The sequence below is a fragment of the Homo sapiens genome, chromosome 2, assembly GCF_000001405.40.
Source record: "Homo sapiens chromosome 2, GRCh38.p14 Primary Assembly".
NCBI classification, from domain to species: Eukaryota; Metazoa; Chordata; class Mammalia; order Primates; family Hominidae; genus Homo; species Homo sapiens.
In genome coordinates, this window is record NC_000002.12 from 159,954,229 (window position 1) to 159,971,411 (window position 17,183).

General features: G+C 37.2%; 1 protein-coding gene across 17 annotated transcripts in view; it reads right to left on the minus strand.

The window, feature by feature from the left end:
- Positions 1-17,183, minus strand: part of PLA2R1 (phospholipase A2 receptor 1) — a 138,683-nt gene that overhangs the window by 30,296 nt on the left and 91,204 nt on the right. For 16 of the 17 annotated variants that reach the window (XR_922892.4, XR_007071491.1, XR_001738672.3 and 13 more), the window contains 6 exons: positions 15,920-15,984; positions 15,028-15,131; positions 13,311-13,450; positions 2,282-2,399; positions 1,470-1,600; positions 971-1,118 (listed from right to left, as the gene is read on the minus strand). Coding sequence is in view for 10 of the 17 variants with exons in the window: in XM_047443729.1 (XP_047299685.1) it covers positions 971-1,118; positions 1,470-1,600; positions 2,282-2,399; positions 13,311-13,450; positions 15,028-15,131; positions 15,920-15,984 (706 nt within the window). In the remaining 7 variants the exon portion in view is untranslated. Of the gene's footprint in view, positions 1-970; positions 1,119-1,469; positions 1,601-2,281; positions 2,400-13,310; positions 13,451-15,027; positions 15,132-15,919; positions 15,985-17,183 lie in introns of those variants that run through there. The other variant, XM_047443731.1, reaches the window with a different exon arrangement.

Genomic DNA, 17,183 nt, shown 5'->3' on the forward strand with positions numbered 1-17,183 from the left:
CGCGCATACACTCAAGGCACAGGGTCAGGTACTCATAAGTGTGTAAGTACCTGGCATGCTCATATTATTTCTTTCCCTACAAGGCTCTGCTGTTCCCATATTACTCTTGCTGTTACAGATCTAGTATCATTTTTTCAGTTCCTGACCACTATAATGTTTAAGTGGTAACTGAGAACCAGAAATGGAGCTTCTCTGGCACTGCTTTTTTGAGGATGAGTTGATAGTAACATTAGAGACTTCACACGTATGCCACATTAAGAAGTAAAATTCCTATTCCAAATAAGTATATATATATATATATATAAATATATGCTAGGCTGCCCAGAGTTCCATACAGCTCTAGACACCAACTATGGCTTTCTTGGGTGGTGTGGACAGGGATACCCAGCATTCAGTAAAAGCATGAGCTGTTGTTGTTTTTATTTATAGTACTCAAGGTCAGTTATAGTGCATTCACACTATTCATTGACCCTGTTGGCTATTTGTAATAGTGTGGCTTTGGCATTTCACACAGAAACCATTTGGGGGTTCTGCCCATCAGATCTAGAAGATTGCTGCATGCCACATTTAGCCACAGAGACCATTTTCAGGGTTCCAAAAAAGGAGCAAATATGAGTTGGTTTATTTCCTTGATTCTTTCCCAACATTTTCTCAGTGACCTTTAAAAATCACCTGAACAGATACATAATCCCAGAATGAAGCAGTAAAGCCATTTAATATGACTAAGATAGATACATAAATTTGGTCATCACTCAAGTGGCCTCGGCAGTCCTTAGAATCCCACTAAAGGGCATAAGCCTAGGGTAGAGGAGATTAAATAACTAAACTTATGTAAAGCCAAAGAAGAAGTGCCTGACACTGTTAGCCAGGAAACTGTTAGCTACATTAGCTACACAGCTGTGTAAAACCAACATGAAAGAGAAGGATGGACTTTGGAAATGAAAGGAATAAAAACCCAAATATTTCTTACCTTGCATTTTTTCACAAACAAACCCATAGCCTTCCTTTCCACAGTCTTCAAAATACCATTTTCCAGTGAAATGAAAATTAGGATTACTTGAGAGTAAGGCACAGAGAGGAATGTGTTTCTGAACTTCAGTGGTATTGTGACTTGGAATCTTTAAAATAATACACGTTATCAAAAGTATGATAACATATAGCATTATTATAACATTAAAATTTTTATTAAGACATTATTTTTAAAATTAAGACACCATTATTCCTTTATTCGCATTTAATAAACTTATTCACAAGTCATTTCATAACCTACAAAATAAACAATTATTGTGATGAGTAAAGTAATTATATTAATGGAACACATAAAATTACATTAAAAATTAATATATTAATAAAAAACTAATATAAATTTATACCTACAAAATATAGGAAATAAAAAAAGCTTTAGTAAACAAATCTTGAATAAAATATCTTGCCAAAGTGATCTCCAAAAAATAAATCTTAAAACTTACATTTATTATATCAAATGGAGACCAGTTAGAATATACCACAGGCTTTCCATTTAGCCATGTTTCATAATCATCATTTTGTAAACCTATCCACACACTGGTGGTCTGGCCAAAAAGATTCATAGTAATGAAAGCTGAAAAACAGGAATACATTATCTAATTTAATACTGTAGAAAGCATTTGGGTAATCACTGCATCCTATTTATAGCTATGATTATATTTAAATGCCAGCAAAACATAATTATGAATCATTTATAGGAATTTGTTACTTTATCCTTGTTAAGGTAATGCAGTTTCTTTCACTTTTGTTTTAGTTTAAATTGACAGAAATTAGCTGGATAACCTGAGATTTCATCATATCATTAACAAAACAATTTCCAGTGTTCATTAATTACCTTTCTAAACAAAAGAGGATTTATCTGCTATATTTAAACTGAAGTATATAATTGATTAAATATCAAATAAAAGCATGTAGGTAAATGTAAAGGGATCTAAAAATCATACCATGCAATTACATGTAGATCATACTTTTTAGCCATTTTGAAATATAGGCCATGAATATGTCCTTATTCTTTCCACTGCTACTGGTGAGAGACAAGGCTCCAAAACCCAGCAGTTTATAAGCAATGCAGTACACTAACTTTTACAGATATCATGAAATAAAACCTATGGGTCAAACTGCAAACTCGTGTATCATCAGCAACACAGTATTTTAAATGTTGATTTGGGAATGTTAGTATAGGTGGGGGGGATATTTTAATAAATACTTGAATAAAAATGGTTATCTTGGCCTGGTTGGATCTTGAGTACTCTACCTTGCTCCACCTCACTTTCAATGGCGACCAGGGTCCCCCCTTCTTCAGCACAGAAATGTTGAGCATGCGTCCAGTTCTTCCAACTGCTTGGGTCTTTGGGGATATTCAGCAGAAGGCACTATCAAAAAATGTCAAAACAAAACATTCATTTCTGTATCTTTCTAAGTGAATTAAAAATTTCCCAAAGACACTGAATATCAGCTTTGAAAATTCTTTATAATTTTCTTGGGCAGAAAGAACTCATTTTTCTTTCACCTCCTCCAAAGGTGTTACAGTAAAACAAAGAGGAGCAGCTTTTAGGGTGAGTTAATGACTTGCCTGCATTTGCAGCAGGCAGGAACAGAAGCAGGGATGCGTTTTGTCTTGTGAAATGTCAGAACAGTGCCTTCAGCACAATGAAAAGTAGTATTCTTCCTAAAAAGGAGCCACTCTGATTGCAAAGTTTACATGGGCACATTTAATCTAAAAAAAAAAAAACAAAAACATTCTGGGGGTGGCAATGAACAGCTTAGTTCAATTTTATTTACAAACACACTTCCTTACTTTAAGTGAGAGAGAAATAATGGGGAGTCAAACACATCAGGTGTTTAAATTCACTAAATACTTGAGTCAGCCATTTGGTCACTAAGTCTATTGGGAAGAGCCAGAGAAGAAAAATAAATGATCCCAGTGGGACAGAAAGCAAGGGTATGACCAAAGAAACCTGGGAAGAAGTAGAAATGAAGGGGAAGGTTGGCCATCAATGTTAGAGGGAACACAGAAAAGGTTGTGGAATTTGGCAATAAAAGTTGAGTGTTATGCAAGAGAGAATCATGTCTGCATCATGGCAGAGGTTTCTTTTCTTTTCTTTTTAAATTTTTTTTGAGATGGAGTCTTGCTCTGTTGCCCAGGCTGGAGTGCAGTGGTCAGATCTCGGCTCACTGCAACCTCTGCCTCCTGGGTTCAAGTGATTCTCCTACCTCAGTCTCCTGAGTAACTGGGACTACAGGTGCGCACCACCATGCCTGGCTAATTTTTGTATTTTTAGTAGAGATGGGGTTTCACCATGTTGGCCAGGATGGTCTTGATCTCTTGACCTTGTGATCCATCTGCCTTGGCCTCCCAAAGAGTTGGGATTACAGGTGTGAGCCACTGCGCCCTGCCACAGAGGTTTCTTTCTTATGGGATGAGAAATGGAATGATACATACTTGGCAGGACAGGCAGGGTTGAAGATAAGTTTGTTTGTTTTTCCCTGAAAGTTCGATGAAATTTAAGAATGTTGGTAGGAACAGATGGAGTTTGGTGAGAGGAAAAGATAGAAGAGAAAGGTTATAATGGATCAGGCAAAATTCCAGAGAGGTCAGGAGAAACTTTATGCAAAGGATGTTTCATCTGGAACTTGCTGGGGATTCTTCTCTCATAATCAATTCTCTCATCAATGAACACAGATAACCCTAGTCATTGATAGATCAGATCCTAAGATCTCGCCACTACAGGATAATTCTAGGTTAGCGTGGAAACCTACACTTGAAAAAGCATCCTTTCCTACCTTATTTTGAAATGATATCTGATATAGTTTGGATGTCTGTTCCCTCCAACTCTCATGTTGAAATGTAATTCCCAGTGTTGAAGGTGAGGCCTGGTGGGAGGTGATTGGATCATGGGGCAGATCCCTCTTGAAGGCTTAGGACCATCCCCTAGGTGATCAATGAGTTCTCAGTTCATGCGAGATCTGATTGTTTAAAAGTCTGGAACCTCCTCTCACCTCACCCTCTTGTGCTTGCTCTTGCCATGTGACATGCTGGTTCCCTGTTATCTTCTGCCATGATTGTAAGCTCCCTGAGGCCCTCACCAGTAGCAGGTGCCGGCACCATGCTTCTTGTACAGCCTGCAGAACTGTAAGTCAAAATAAACCTATTTTCTTCATCAGTTACCCAGTCTCAGGTATTCCTTTATAGAAATGCAAGACTGGTCTAATACAATATCTTTCCCCATCATTCTTTAATTTCCAAATTTTTCAGTTCTCCACCCCTTCCCCACCATCATACACCCCTTAAAAGCAGAGAGACTAAGTCTTACTCCTCTTTGAACATCACACCAGAGAAGGCCCCTAGTAAACATTTATTAAGCAAAATAAAAGACAACAGACCCTAAAATGGTTGTCAAATGACATTGTCAGTCATTCTAAATTTAGCTCAGTGGTTCTCCAACAGGACAATTTTGCCCCTCAGGGTATATTTTGATAATGCCTGCAGATATTTTTCACTGTTACAGTTGGGGAGGGGATTGCTATTGGCAACTAATGGGTAGAGACAAAGATGCTGCTAACCATTTGCAAAGCACAGGTCAGGTCAGTCTTTCAAAAGAAAGAATTATCTGACCCCAAATGTCAATAGTGTAAGGTAATTCTTTTTAAAACTCAGTCCTGATCATGTCACCCTTTAGTTTAAACCCTTCAGGAATTTTCCACTACTCTTAGGATAAAAACCAGAAACACTGAACTAGCTTGAGGTTGAGTTGCCAACTAAGAGAGAAAATACATTTTCAATTCTTCTGGTCCTTTTTGTCTTGTTTGCTTCACAAATAAACTGAATTGGCTTTCAAGGAGTTTAATTTTATAACAACTATCCTTTTATCTATTTCCTTTCATTTTGCCTCTTTCCTCTAATTACAAATTCTAAAGAGTGGCACATATTAATTATTGGGAAGTCTTATCATTTAATGTGAATTCACCTTGTGTTCAGATAGTTACACTAATGAACCATTCATAAATACCAATGAACCTCATTGGTTCAGTTAGCTCAATAAATCTCTCCAGAAAAACATCTCCTCTGCTTCCTCTATGTTTGCCTCAGCCAGGATTTACTAGCTTGACTACGGAAGTGTGGCCTGCAATTACCACGACTTCATTGTTTCTAAAAATATAACATATTTACTAACACACTCCGAAATTGTGTCATTAATAATTAAGGCAAAGCAGCAAGATGAAGTACAGCATCCTTAATTTAAAATTGTTTACTTACTAATTTGCAAAATGTGATCAAGTTTAATGCATCTCTGATTATTACTGTGAATTAATGGGGTCCTACTGTATTCTAAATGGGTTTTCAATATAAAATTCTTTTTTGTCTCAAAATCATTTCTAGCTCAATATTTGGAAATGAAATTCAGTTCCCTCCAAACTTGGTCCTTTCCCAGTGTTCCTACTCACAATGAATGGCACGGTCTGCATGCACTTATACACATACAATAAGCCTGAAACCTCAGAGGCATCCTTACCTTCCCACTCCATCTCCCCAACAGCCATACCATTTGGACATCTCATTTCCCAAAAAGCCCCCTCACCCATCCCCATTCCCACTGCCTCATGGTCTCTGCCACCACTATCTTAGCCCAACCTACCAGTCTCTTGCCTGCACTACAGCAATAGCTTCCTAACTGCTCTTACCTTTCTCACCCTTGCCCTTCTTCCATATATCCTTGGCACTACATCTAGAGTAACTTTTTAAAATTTGGTCCTGGTCACGTCCTTCTTTAGTTTTAAACCCATCAAGGGTTTCCCACTGCTCTTAGGATAGAGGCCAGAAGTCCAACACGGTATCACCCTTTCCACTTCTTTTGTCTCACCTTTGGCCACTCTAGTTCTCTATGTTTCCTTTAGTTTCTTAAATGTCATACTCCCACCTTGCTGCAGGACCTTAGCACATGCAGCTCCCCCTATTTTTAATGTTCCCTGCCTTTCTGACCACTTCAGTCAGGTCCTCTGGCTATACACTTTTCTAGAACCACATAACTTTCCTTCATCACGTACAGCACAGTTTTAAATTACACAGCCATTTTCCTGATCGATTTACTAATGTTTGTTCTCCCTCTAGTGTGTAAGCACCAAAAGAGAAGGGGCTGTGTCTGTTTTTCCTCACCACTGAATTCCCGACATCGAGATAGTAAATGAATGAATGAATGAAGTGCTCCAATTTGAATAAATTCCAAAAAGAGGTGAGAGTATTTTTAAGAAAAAACTATGTTATGCACAAAATCAAATATTGACTAATCCCAAACTAGACAGTGCAAAGCAGCCATTACCACTCAATCCAGGTCTTGAATAAAAATATGTAAGTAGAAGCACAAGAGTTAATCACACACACACACTTAGAATTTCTTCCTCCCACAGATCTGCTGGGACAAGTATCTTAGATGACTCATTCTTCCTGGGTAAACCCCTGGTCAAACCTCTGTTACATTATCAAACACAGAGAAAACTATTTATGAGACATTAGAAAAGATGCTTAATTTCTGTGTATCTCAGTTTTAAAACCCACTTAATTTGCCAACAAAGTGGGATTTTTTTCCTTAGAAATAACCAATAAAAATTAGTCCTAGGAAATTCACAAACAATAAGCAAAGTTTAATGGGACATAATATATTGGAACTCATTTCAGAATTGTGAAGTAAAGAAGGTCCATCATTGTTATCTCCCAGTTTTCCTTCTGTAGCTTTATTTGTTAATAGGGAAAAACCATCCCACCGCTCTCAGCTATCAACTCTCCTATTAACAGTTTTTCTAATAATCTGATAAACTTACTTGTTTCAAGATGTTGATGACAGATGAGGCAATCTCAAAAATATTTCCCTTTTAAAAATAAAGGAAAGTGTTGAGACAAAGGAGAGAAACTCCAGTGGTGGAATTTTAGGCATTAATGCGCAGGAGAAGGCACTGTGGGTGGGGAGACATGCATGGTGACTCTGACATTGTGCCAGGTGAATTGCCACCTACTTATGAAGCCTGCTGTGATGATATCCTTTGTAATCAAATGCTCCTAATGCCTTGAAGAAAGAGTTGTGGAACTATGACTGTTGAATTGCTGGGTAAATATTGGCCACACATTAGAATAACTGAGGGAGCTTTAAAAAAATACGGATGCCTGGATCCCATGCAGATCAGCTAAATCAGAATCTTCAGGACGTCTCCTGCACTTTGATGTTTTTAAAAAGCTCACCTGCTGATTCTAAATATTTGACCAGGGCTGAAAACTACTGATCTAGCTGTTAGTTATCAATAATTTTTTTTTATAACTCTGAGCTACATGAGGGTGTTTTAATCATGCCCCAGGGCTAGCTTCAGAAGGCGCCTCCCCTCCCCGCCATTCTCATGCACATATTTATTCCCCTCTCTATTCCTTTCATGGGAAGCATTCACTTGCTCTTTTGCCCTGGGTCTGCTCCACCATCACTGCCACCATTCCCATAGATACACACTCTCTACGTGTGTACAGGAGGACACATGGGATGGAGGTGAACTGTGTGGGTAAAAATCAAGTTTGGGGGAAGGATAATAGCAAAAGGCTGAACCAGAAACAACTATTCCAGGTTTCTAAGAATTATTTATCAAATGCTAAGGATTTGACTTGTCATTAATTTCCTTAAAATATCCTCTTTTAATCCTAGAAGAAAACCTGGGCAATACCATTCAGGACATAGGCATGAGCAAAGACTTCATGCCTAAAACACCAAAAGCAATGGCAACAAAAGCCAAAATAGACAAATGGGATCTAATTAAATTAAAGAGCTTCTGCACAGCAAAAGAAACTATCATCAGAATAAACAGGCAACCTACAGAATGGGAGAAAATTTTTGCAATCTATCCATCTGACAAAGGTCTAATATCCAGAATCTACAAAGAACTTAAACAAATTTACAAGAAAAAAACAAACAACCCCATCAAAAAGTGGGCCAAGGAGATGAACAGACACTTCTCAAAAGAAGACATTATGCAGTCAACAGAAATATGAAAAAATACTCATCATCACTTGTCATTAGAGAAATGCAAATCAAACCCACAATGAGATACCACATCAGGCCAGTTAGAATGGCGATCATTAAAAAGTCAGGAAACAACAGATGCTGGAGAGTATGTGGAGAAATATGAACACTTTTACACTGTTGGTGGGAGTGTAAATTAGTTAAACCATTGTGGAACACAGTGTGGTGATTCCCCAAGGATCTAGAACTAGAAATACCATTTGACCCAGCAATCCCATTACTGGGTATATACCCAAAGGATTATAAATCATGCTGCTATAAAGACACATGCACATGTTTGTTTATTGCAGCACTATTCACAATAGCAAAGACTTGGAACCAACCCAAATGTCCATCAATGATAGACTGGATAAAGAAAATGTGGCACATAAACACCATGGAATACTATGCAGCCATAAAAAAGGATGAGTTCATGTCCTTTGCAGGGACATGGATGAAGCTGGAAACCATCATTCTCAGCAAACTAACACAGGAACAGAAAACCAAACACCACATGTTCTCACTCATAAGTGGGAGCTAACAATGAGAACACATGGACATAGGGAGGGGAACATCACACACCAGGGCCTGTTGGGGACTGGGGGCCTAGGGGAGGGATAACATTAGGAGCAATACCTAATGTAGGTGACGGGTTGATGGGTGCAGCAAACCACCATGGCACGTGTATATCTATGTAACAAAATTGCATGTTCTACACATGTACCCCAGAACTTAAAGTATATAAAAAAATCCTCTTTTACACATGAGAGGAGGCATGAGTTAGTAACTAGGACAGTTGTGTTCATGCTTTTGGGTTGTTCACTATCTGTACCAGAAATGTGATTTGGAGATTAGCTAGGCATTCCTTTATGCCTGTTCCCTAGAGACCATGCCAGGATAAACTTGTTCTAACAGTTGTGAAAAACTAATTGTCACATACTGGAGTGAATTCAAAATGTATCAACAACCTAAATATAAATGCTAAAACCATGAAGCTCTTAGACAAACACACAGGGGCAAATCTTCATTACCTTGGATTTGGCAGTGAATTCTTAAGTATGATACCAAAAGCACAAGTGACGGAAGAAAAAGTAGATAACTGGGTTTCATCAAAATTAAAAACTTTTGTGCATCAAAGGACATTATCAAGAAAGTTAAAAGACAACCTACAGAATGACTGAAAATATTTATAAATCACATATTGGATGGGGTTTAATATTTAGAATATACAAGGAATTCCTATAACTCAACAATAAAAAGGCAAATGATCCAATTTAAAAATGGACAAAGGACTTTAATAGACATTTTTCCAAAGAAGATAAACAAATGGCTAACAAGCACATGAAACGATGCTCAACTTCATCAGATAATAGAGAAATGCAAATCGAAATCACAATGAAATAACACCTAACGTGTTCTAGGATGGCTATATAATAGCCAGAGTTGGCAAAGATGTGGAGAAATTGAAACCCTCACACACGGCTAGCAGGATTGTAAAATGGTTTGGTCGCTGTGGAAGAACATTTGTCAGTTCCTCAAAAAGCTAACTACTGAGTTACCATATGACCCAGCAATTCTATTCGTAGGTATACATTCAAAAGAATTGAAAATAGGGACTCAAACAGAGACTTACACACCAATGCTCATTGAAGCATTATTCACAATAGTCAAAAGGTGAAAACAACCCAAGTGCGCATCAACAGATGAATGAATAAACAAAATATGCAATATTCACACACACACACACGCCCGTGCCACACAGGAATATTATTCAGCCACAAGAAGGAAGGCAATTTTGATATATGCTAAAGCACAAATGAACCTTGAAAACATCATGCGAATAGGCCAGACACAAGGACAAATATTGTATGAGTTCGCTAATATGAAATATCTAGAATAGGCACATTCACAGGGATAGAGAATAGATTAGAGGTTACCAGGGGATGGGGAACAGGAAGTTAGTGCTTAATGGTTACAGAGTTTCTGTTTGGGATAGTGAGAATGTTTTGGAAATAGAGATGATGGTTGTATAACATTGTGCATGTAATTAATGCCATTGAATTGTACACTCAATAATGGTTAAAATGGCAAATGTTATGTTACATTATTTAGGACCATAAAGATGCTTTAAAAAACTAATTGCCAAAGGTTTTAATAAAAGACTTAGTAACACTCAGTGTCTTATTGAATATTAGCTACAAGTTTCTCATACTAAAATGTGAAAATAATTTATACCTGGTAGAAAGATTTTATAGTTTGAGAAAATAGGAAGTATACAGAAAGTATCAATGATTAAAAAATAGTGTACCTCATTACTATAGTAAAGTTTTAGAGTAAATTATACTATTCTAGAAAATATCTCATGGTGCCACTGAGCTCACTGTGTCATAGGGCTAAGCTGACATGGCAACCCTTTTTTTTAAAAAAAAATTATTAAATACTTCATTTTTTAAAGAGCAGTTTTAGGTTCACAGCAAAGTTAAGAGGAAGGTACAACTTTGGGAGACCAAGGCGGGCGGATCACCTGAGGTCAGGAGTTTGAGACCAGCCTGGCATGATGAAACCCCGTTTCTACTAAAAATACAAAAATTAGTCAGGCGTGGTGGCAGGCACCTGTAACCCCAGCTACCTGGGAGGCTGAGGCAAGAGAATCACTTGAACCTGGGAGATAAAGGTTGCAGTGAGGGGAGATCATGTCACTGCACTTCAGCCTGAGTGACAGACTGAGAGTCCATCTCAAAAAAAACCAGGAAGGTACAGAGATTTCCCACCTGATCCACACATACACAGCCTCCCGCATTATCACATGCCCCATCACCCCAGAATGGTACATCTGTTACAATCGATGAACCTGCATTAACACATCATAACCACCCAAAGTCCATAGTTTACATTAGGGTTCACTCTTTGTGTTGTACATTCTATGAGTTTGTACAAATGTCTAGTGACATGCATCCACCATTGTGCTATCATACAGAGAATTTTCACTGCCCTAAGAATCTTCCACAACTTCATCCTTCCCTCCCTGCAACACCTGGCAACCACTGATCTTTTTACTGTCTCTCTAGTTTTGTCTTTTCCAGAATGTCATATAGTTGGAATCATACAGTATTGTAGGCTTTTCAGATTGGCTTCTTTCACTTAGTAATATGAATTTAAGTTTCCTCCATGTGTTTTAAAGGCTTGATAGCTAATTTCTTTTTAGCACTGAGTAATATTCCATTGTGTGGTTGTACCAGTTTATTTATTCACCTACTAGGGACATCTTGATTGCTTCCAAGTTTTGGCAATTAAGAATAAAGATGTTATAAATATTCATGGACAGGTTTTTACATATACATAAGTTTTCAACTCCTTTGGGTAAATACCAAGGAGTGTGATTGCTGGATCAAATGGTAAAAGTATGTTTAGTTTTGTAAGAAACTGCCAAACTGTCTCCCACAGTGGCCGTACCATTCTGCATTCCCACCAGGAGTGAATGAGAGCTCCTGTTGTTCGGCCTCCTTGCCAGCATGTAGTGTTGTCAGTGCTCTGGATTTGGGCCGTTCTAGTAGCTGTGCAGTGGCAAATCACTCATTGTTGTTTTAATTTGCATTTCTGGAGTGGCAGTCCTTAAGTGCCAACGTGAAGTGGCAGGCATAGGAAAGGGGCAAGACCACCAGACTCAGGGTCAGAAAACAAAAAGTGCGTCTTGGCCTGATGCGTATTCACTGTGAAGTTTCAGAAAAGTCACACAATTTTGTTAGCATCTGTCTTCTCATATGTAAAATGAGGATAGTAATTCTATATATTTTTAAAATTCAGTGATATAAGAAATAAACATACAATCAATTAGCTAAGGGGGGACGTAACTCAAATGTCCACCAATGGATGACTGGATAAACAAAATGTAGTATATCCATACAATGGAATATTGTCCAACCGTCAAAAGGAAGTCCTGTCGCATGCCAGTGTGGGTGAACCTTGAGGACATTATGCTAACTGAAATAAGCCAGTCACAAAAAGGCAAATACTGTCTGATTCCACTTACATGAGGTATCTAAATTAGTCAATTTCAAAGACACAGAAAGTAGAACAGCAGTTGCCAAGGGGTTCAGAGTAGGAAGAACAGGGAGTCGTTTAATGGGTACAGTTTCAGTTTTGCAAGATGGAAAAGGTCTGGAGATTTGTTGAATGACAGTGTGAGTATGTGATACTTAACACTAGTAAACAGTAGACAAAAATGGCTAGAATGGTGAATTCTATATTGTGTGTATTTACCAGATATTAAAAAAATTTAAAAGTCAGTGCCAAATGTCTGGTGGGTACTCAATGAATGTGTGAAAAATCCAAGTGGCCTCATTTCTCAAATTAACAATGGGAGGAAGATCACAAAGGAGAGAAAGCCCTGCCAATATAACTGAACACTTAGATTAAAAATTGGCTGTCCACAATTGAAGAGGAATTTCATATTAGCATATGAAATGATGACACAGTTTGGGTTTTTTAATTTTCTAAGAGTTAAACAATTATAATTTGGGATGCATTTTAATTACTTCCACCTAAGGCCTATAAAGTTATTTTATTATAAAATATGAAGAGTGGAGGGAGACTAGGCCTTAATTGAAGGCAGCATCAGAAATAATAAATCTGGTTTAAAATATCCCCACTGGCAATTTTTTTTTTCTTAATTCAAATCTGCATGGAAGCACCAGCTTTATGAGGCTTAAGATGACATTGACCAAGCTAAGTTATTAGTCCCTCAATTCACTAGTGGGCAGAGCTCTATGCCGGCTCCAGGCAGGGAAAACACAAGAGTAGGAGATGGAGTCTGGGTCCTCTGAAATTTACAGCTTATTTGGGAGCAGAACCTAGACACACAGGCATGCAGGCACATACATACACGTGCACACACACGCACGCACATGAGCACACACACACATGCATATGCACACACACATGCATACATACATATACATACATATGTTACACCTAATGAAACATTCATACAGCACAATAAATGACTATGCCAACAGTAAAACTGAGTATAGAAACGAGGGGCAGTGTCCAGGCTGTTTTTGACAAAAATCTTTTGTTCCAAAAGATTTGTTACTAAATGGAAAACTCAAATTTCTTGAAAGTTGTGACAAAAAAATTCCAGGTCCTATGGACAACTCACAGCTTTCAAAAGCCACTTTCACTTTTTGAACACTTTCCAAAATTAGTGTCTACAAAAGAGAAACAAAGGCAACTTTTGAAAAACAAGCTTACCTTATAGTTAAAATATAGCCATCCTTTGGGACACGTTCCATGTTGTTTTGGTGTATCTTTCTTTTTCTCTATGAGCCAAACCTTTTTTCGCTTACAGATACTAGGCATAGAAACTGAACACTCTTCACTACCCCAGAGTCCTGGAGGAGAAAATGGGTTAGAAATGGCTTAGGAACAATGGCGATTCTTTGAAGGCATTCTCTATTGATCACTATTTTTATGAGGCTATGGTTTTTCATAATTTATTTTTTAAAATCTAGAAACTGAACTAAACTACTGATCTTAGATTTCTCTAGGGACAACAGCTAACTGGGCAAGGCCAACTCAGTAATTTTAATTTAAGAATGTAAAAATTTTGCAAATTAAAAAAATCTAAATAAATACTGCAATTTGAATCATAGAACTGATTAAAATCTTAAGAATATTTGACTTGTGTAGCAAAAGAATACTTTGTAGGGTAACAATTTCATTTTAAAATGTTCAATTTCAATGTACAGAGAGGAAAAAGATTCTAAAACAGTAGATAATTTCTACTTTATAATTCTTTAGAAAATATAATAATTTAGAAAAATTAACTCAAGAACTTCCAAGAAAACAGCATTTAATACTGATCCTTAAGTAAACCAGACTCACATATAGACATGTCTTCAGTAAGAAATATCCTCAAATCCTTAGCCTCCGACAAACTAACTGCTTTTTTTTTTTTTTAATTTAGAAGAGCTATATTTTCAGAATAAGGATTATAGAATGCATTTTATTGGCATCCAAGTCATAAATTCCAGAACAGGGCAGAATGCATGCCAATTGCAAGGGCAGGCTCAGTTTTCTAGATCAGGAATATGAGCCCAAAAGATGTTGGCATTTTGAAGGAAGGGCTGGAATGCTATTTTCAATGCAGATTAGCTGCTATTCTCCCAGACGCTCAAAACAGTCCTTTCTGTAGGCTGTTGTGACACCTGCTGGTAAAAGCAGGCTGATTAACCACACGGATTTTCCTTTCCTAACTCTCTGCAGAGGCCCTCACACCCAAAATTATTTTCTGTGTTTATCCCTCTCCTGGCCTGGGGCACAGGTTAGTTATGAATCTGTTAGAGTAATGGGTATCATTATCTTTTATTGGTTAGAAAGAAGGGGAATGAGTGGACAATCAACCTAACTACACTGCACTGATGAGGAGAATTTAAAAAACCAATCTTCAACCTAAATGTGCTTCTAAATCCAACTTGCAAACAGTTGCCATTCTAAAGCAAGCAGCAATTGATGACAGGTAGTAAAAGAAAAAAGAATACTGACTTGAATCAAAACATTTATTAAATAGGAAAATGGAAGTAAATTTCACAGAGGTTAAAGTTCTGGCCCATTATAAATTGGATATAGGAATAGATTTTTTTAAAAAGTGCTTCCATTGAAATACCATAGAAAAAAGTATTTGTCAGGCATATATTTCTTTAAAGTTTCATTGGGCCCATTTCTGGTGCTGTCTTGATTTATGAGGAAGGACTTATTCAGATGTAAATTATTTCCAAGAACATGAATGCATGGATTGAACAGAAAAAAATGGCCATCCTTAAGCCTTATGGCAGACAAAACTGAACACGTCAACTGAAAAGAGAAATAAACAGAAACTTCTCATGGAAATGATGCAAGGAAAAGACTTTAAGCCTCCTGAAAATTATCAGTTTGTATTATAAACCCAAAAATGGGTAAGTAAAATAACCTGTTATAGAAGAAATAAAGCCACATCTCTGGCTCTGATTATTCACAGTTCTTTCTCTTCCTGTGTCCCAGTTCTGGTATATCACTGGTGTTCCATCTCTCCAGCTGTGGGAAGATTAAAAATGTTAAGGTCTTCTCTCATTCTGCATGTCCAGTCTCCAACATCATTCTTAGAGTTCTGAGGTAGGGATTGAAGATATAATATTCTATTAAATTTAAAAAATATACTCATATGTAGCATAGTACCTATAGTTAACAATATTGTATCATATACTTAAAATTTTTCTAAGGTGGTAGATTTTTTTTGAGATGGAGTCTCTCTCTGTCACCCAGGCTGAGTACAGTGGCACGATCTCGGCTCACGGCAGCCTCTGCCTCACGGGTTCAAGTGATTCTCCTACCTTAGCCCCCCCAAGTAGCTGGGTCTACAGGTGCGCACCACCACGCCCAGCTAATTTTTGTATTTTTAGTAGAGAGAGAGTTTCTCCATGTTGGCCAGGCTGGTCTTGAACTCCTGACCTCAGGCGATCCGCCCTCCTTGGCCTCCCAAAGTACTGGGATTACAGGTGTGAACCACCGCGCCCAGCTAAGAGGGTAGATTTTATGTTAAGAGTTCTCATCACAAAAATGAATGAATTAGTGAATAAATAAATAAATGAATAGAGCAGGAAAGAAAGCTTTTGGAGGTGATGGATATGTTTATGGCTAGATTGTCGGGATGGTTTCATAAGCATATTCTTTAAAAAACACTCATGTCTTTGGTTAGAGAAGTGAAAATTTATAAGTTAATGTTTGAAGGGTATTCAACAAATTGATCACTAAAATTGAATCTAATCATTCTGCAAATAAAACCTGTCAAACAAAATTAAATGCAAATGAATCTAGGTTCATACCGAAATTCATCATTGGCTCTTTCTTCTTGAAGTCCAATCCACCAACTTGCACCATACTTTGATAGCTATTGAAAGAAAAAAAGTCAGCATTTATTCTACTTGTTTTCCTTTTTCACTATTAAGAGTAATGGGGTTGCTGCTAATAGCTTTCTATTCTTCAGTATTTTACCCAATTATCTAAGGAAGAATACACTAAGGCCTAGCATCTTGAGAAAACCTGAAACTTCATTATCCTAAAATATTCCCCCCATTACGAAGAAAAACTGGAATCAAACATGGAAAATAATTTTAGTTTCATACAACTTGAAAAGTAATGTTTCTAACTCTCTAAGAAGGTTTTAAAAAGTAATATTAGAAAATGAATTCATTTTCTGACAAAAAATTATTGGCTCATCCTCTCAGTTATTTACCCTCTCAGTGATTTATAATTCATTGCATATGTCACATGTATTTGAAAAACAATTCAAGGTATCAAGGCATCATTAGTATAAAGATACTGATTTTAGGTATTAGTCTGATTGCTAAGCTTTAAGCAGTATAAGCTTTCCTTCCCATTCAAATAGAGAGACACAATATAGGACAAAAGAATACTACAGAGTGCCCAGTGTTTGACAACTAGAAAATTATCCTTTTGATGAGTTCATGTCCTTTGCAGGGACATGGATGAAGCTGGAAACCATCAATCTCAGCAAACTAACACATGAACAGAAAACCAAACACCGCATGTTCTCACTCATAAGTGGGAGCTGAACAATGAGAACACATGGACACAGGGAGGGGAACATCACACACTGGGGCCTGTCGGGGGGTGGGGGGCTGGGGGAGGGATAGCATTAGGGGAAATACCTAACGTAGATGACAGGTTGATGGGTACAGCAAACTACCATGGCATATGTATACCTATGTAACAAACCTGCATGTTCTGCACATGTATCCCAGAACTTAAAGTATAATAATAAAAAAAGGAACCAGATTTATATGTGTCAACATGGACACATTTCAAAATATGTACTTTTTAATATAAAATTAAACTGTATAACAAAAAATTGGAATTTTAGTAGATTATAAATTCTATGTTAACAGAGTGATATAGTTATCACCAATAAAAAAACCACTTAATCTAAGATTGTATTAGTAATGTTGTAGTGTTCAGAATAAAGGTAGTAAAAATTAGTAAGGAAATAGAAGACTTGAACAACAACAACAAAAAGAAAATTATCCTTTTACATTTTACTAATTTTATACCACTATTAATCACTTGGAC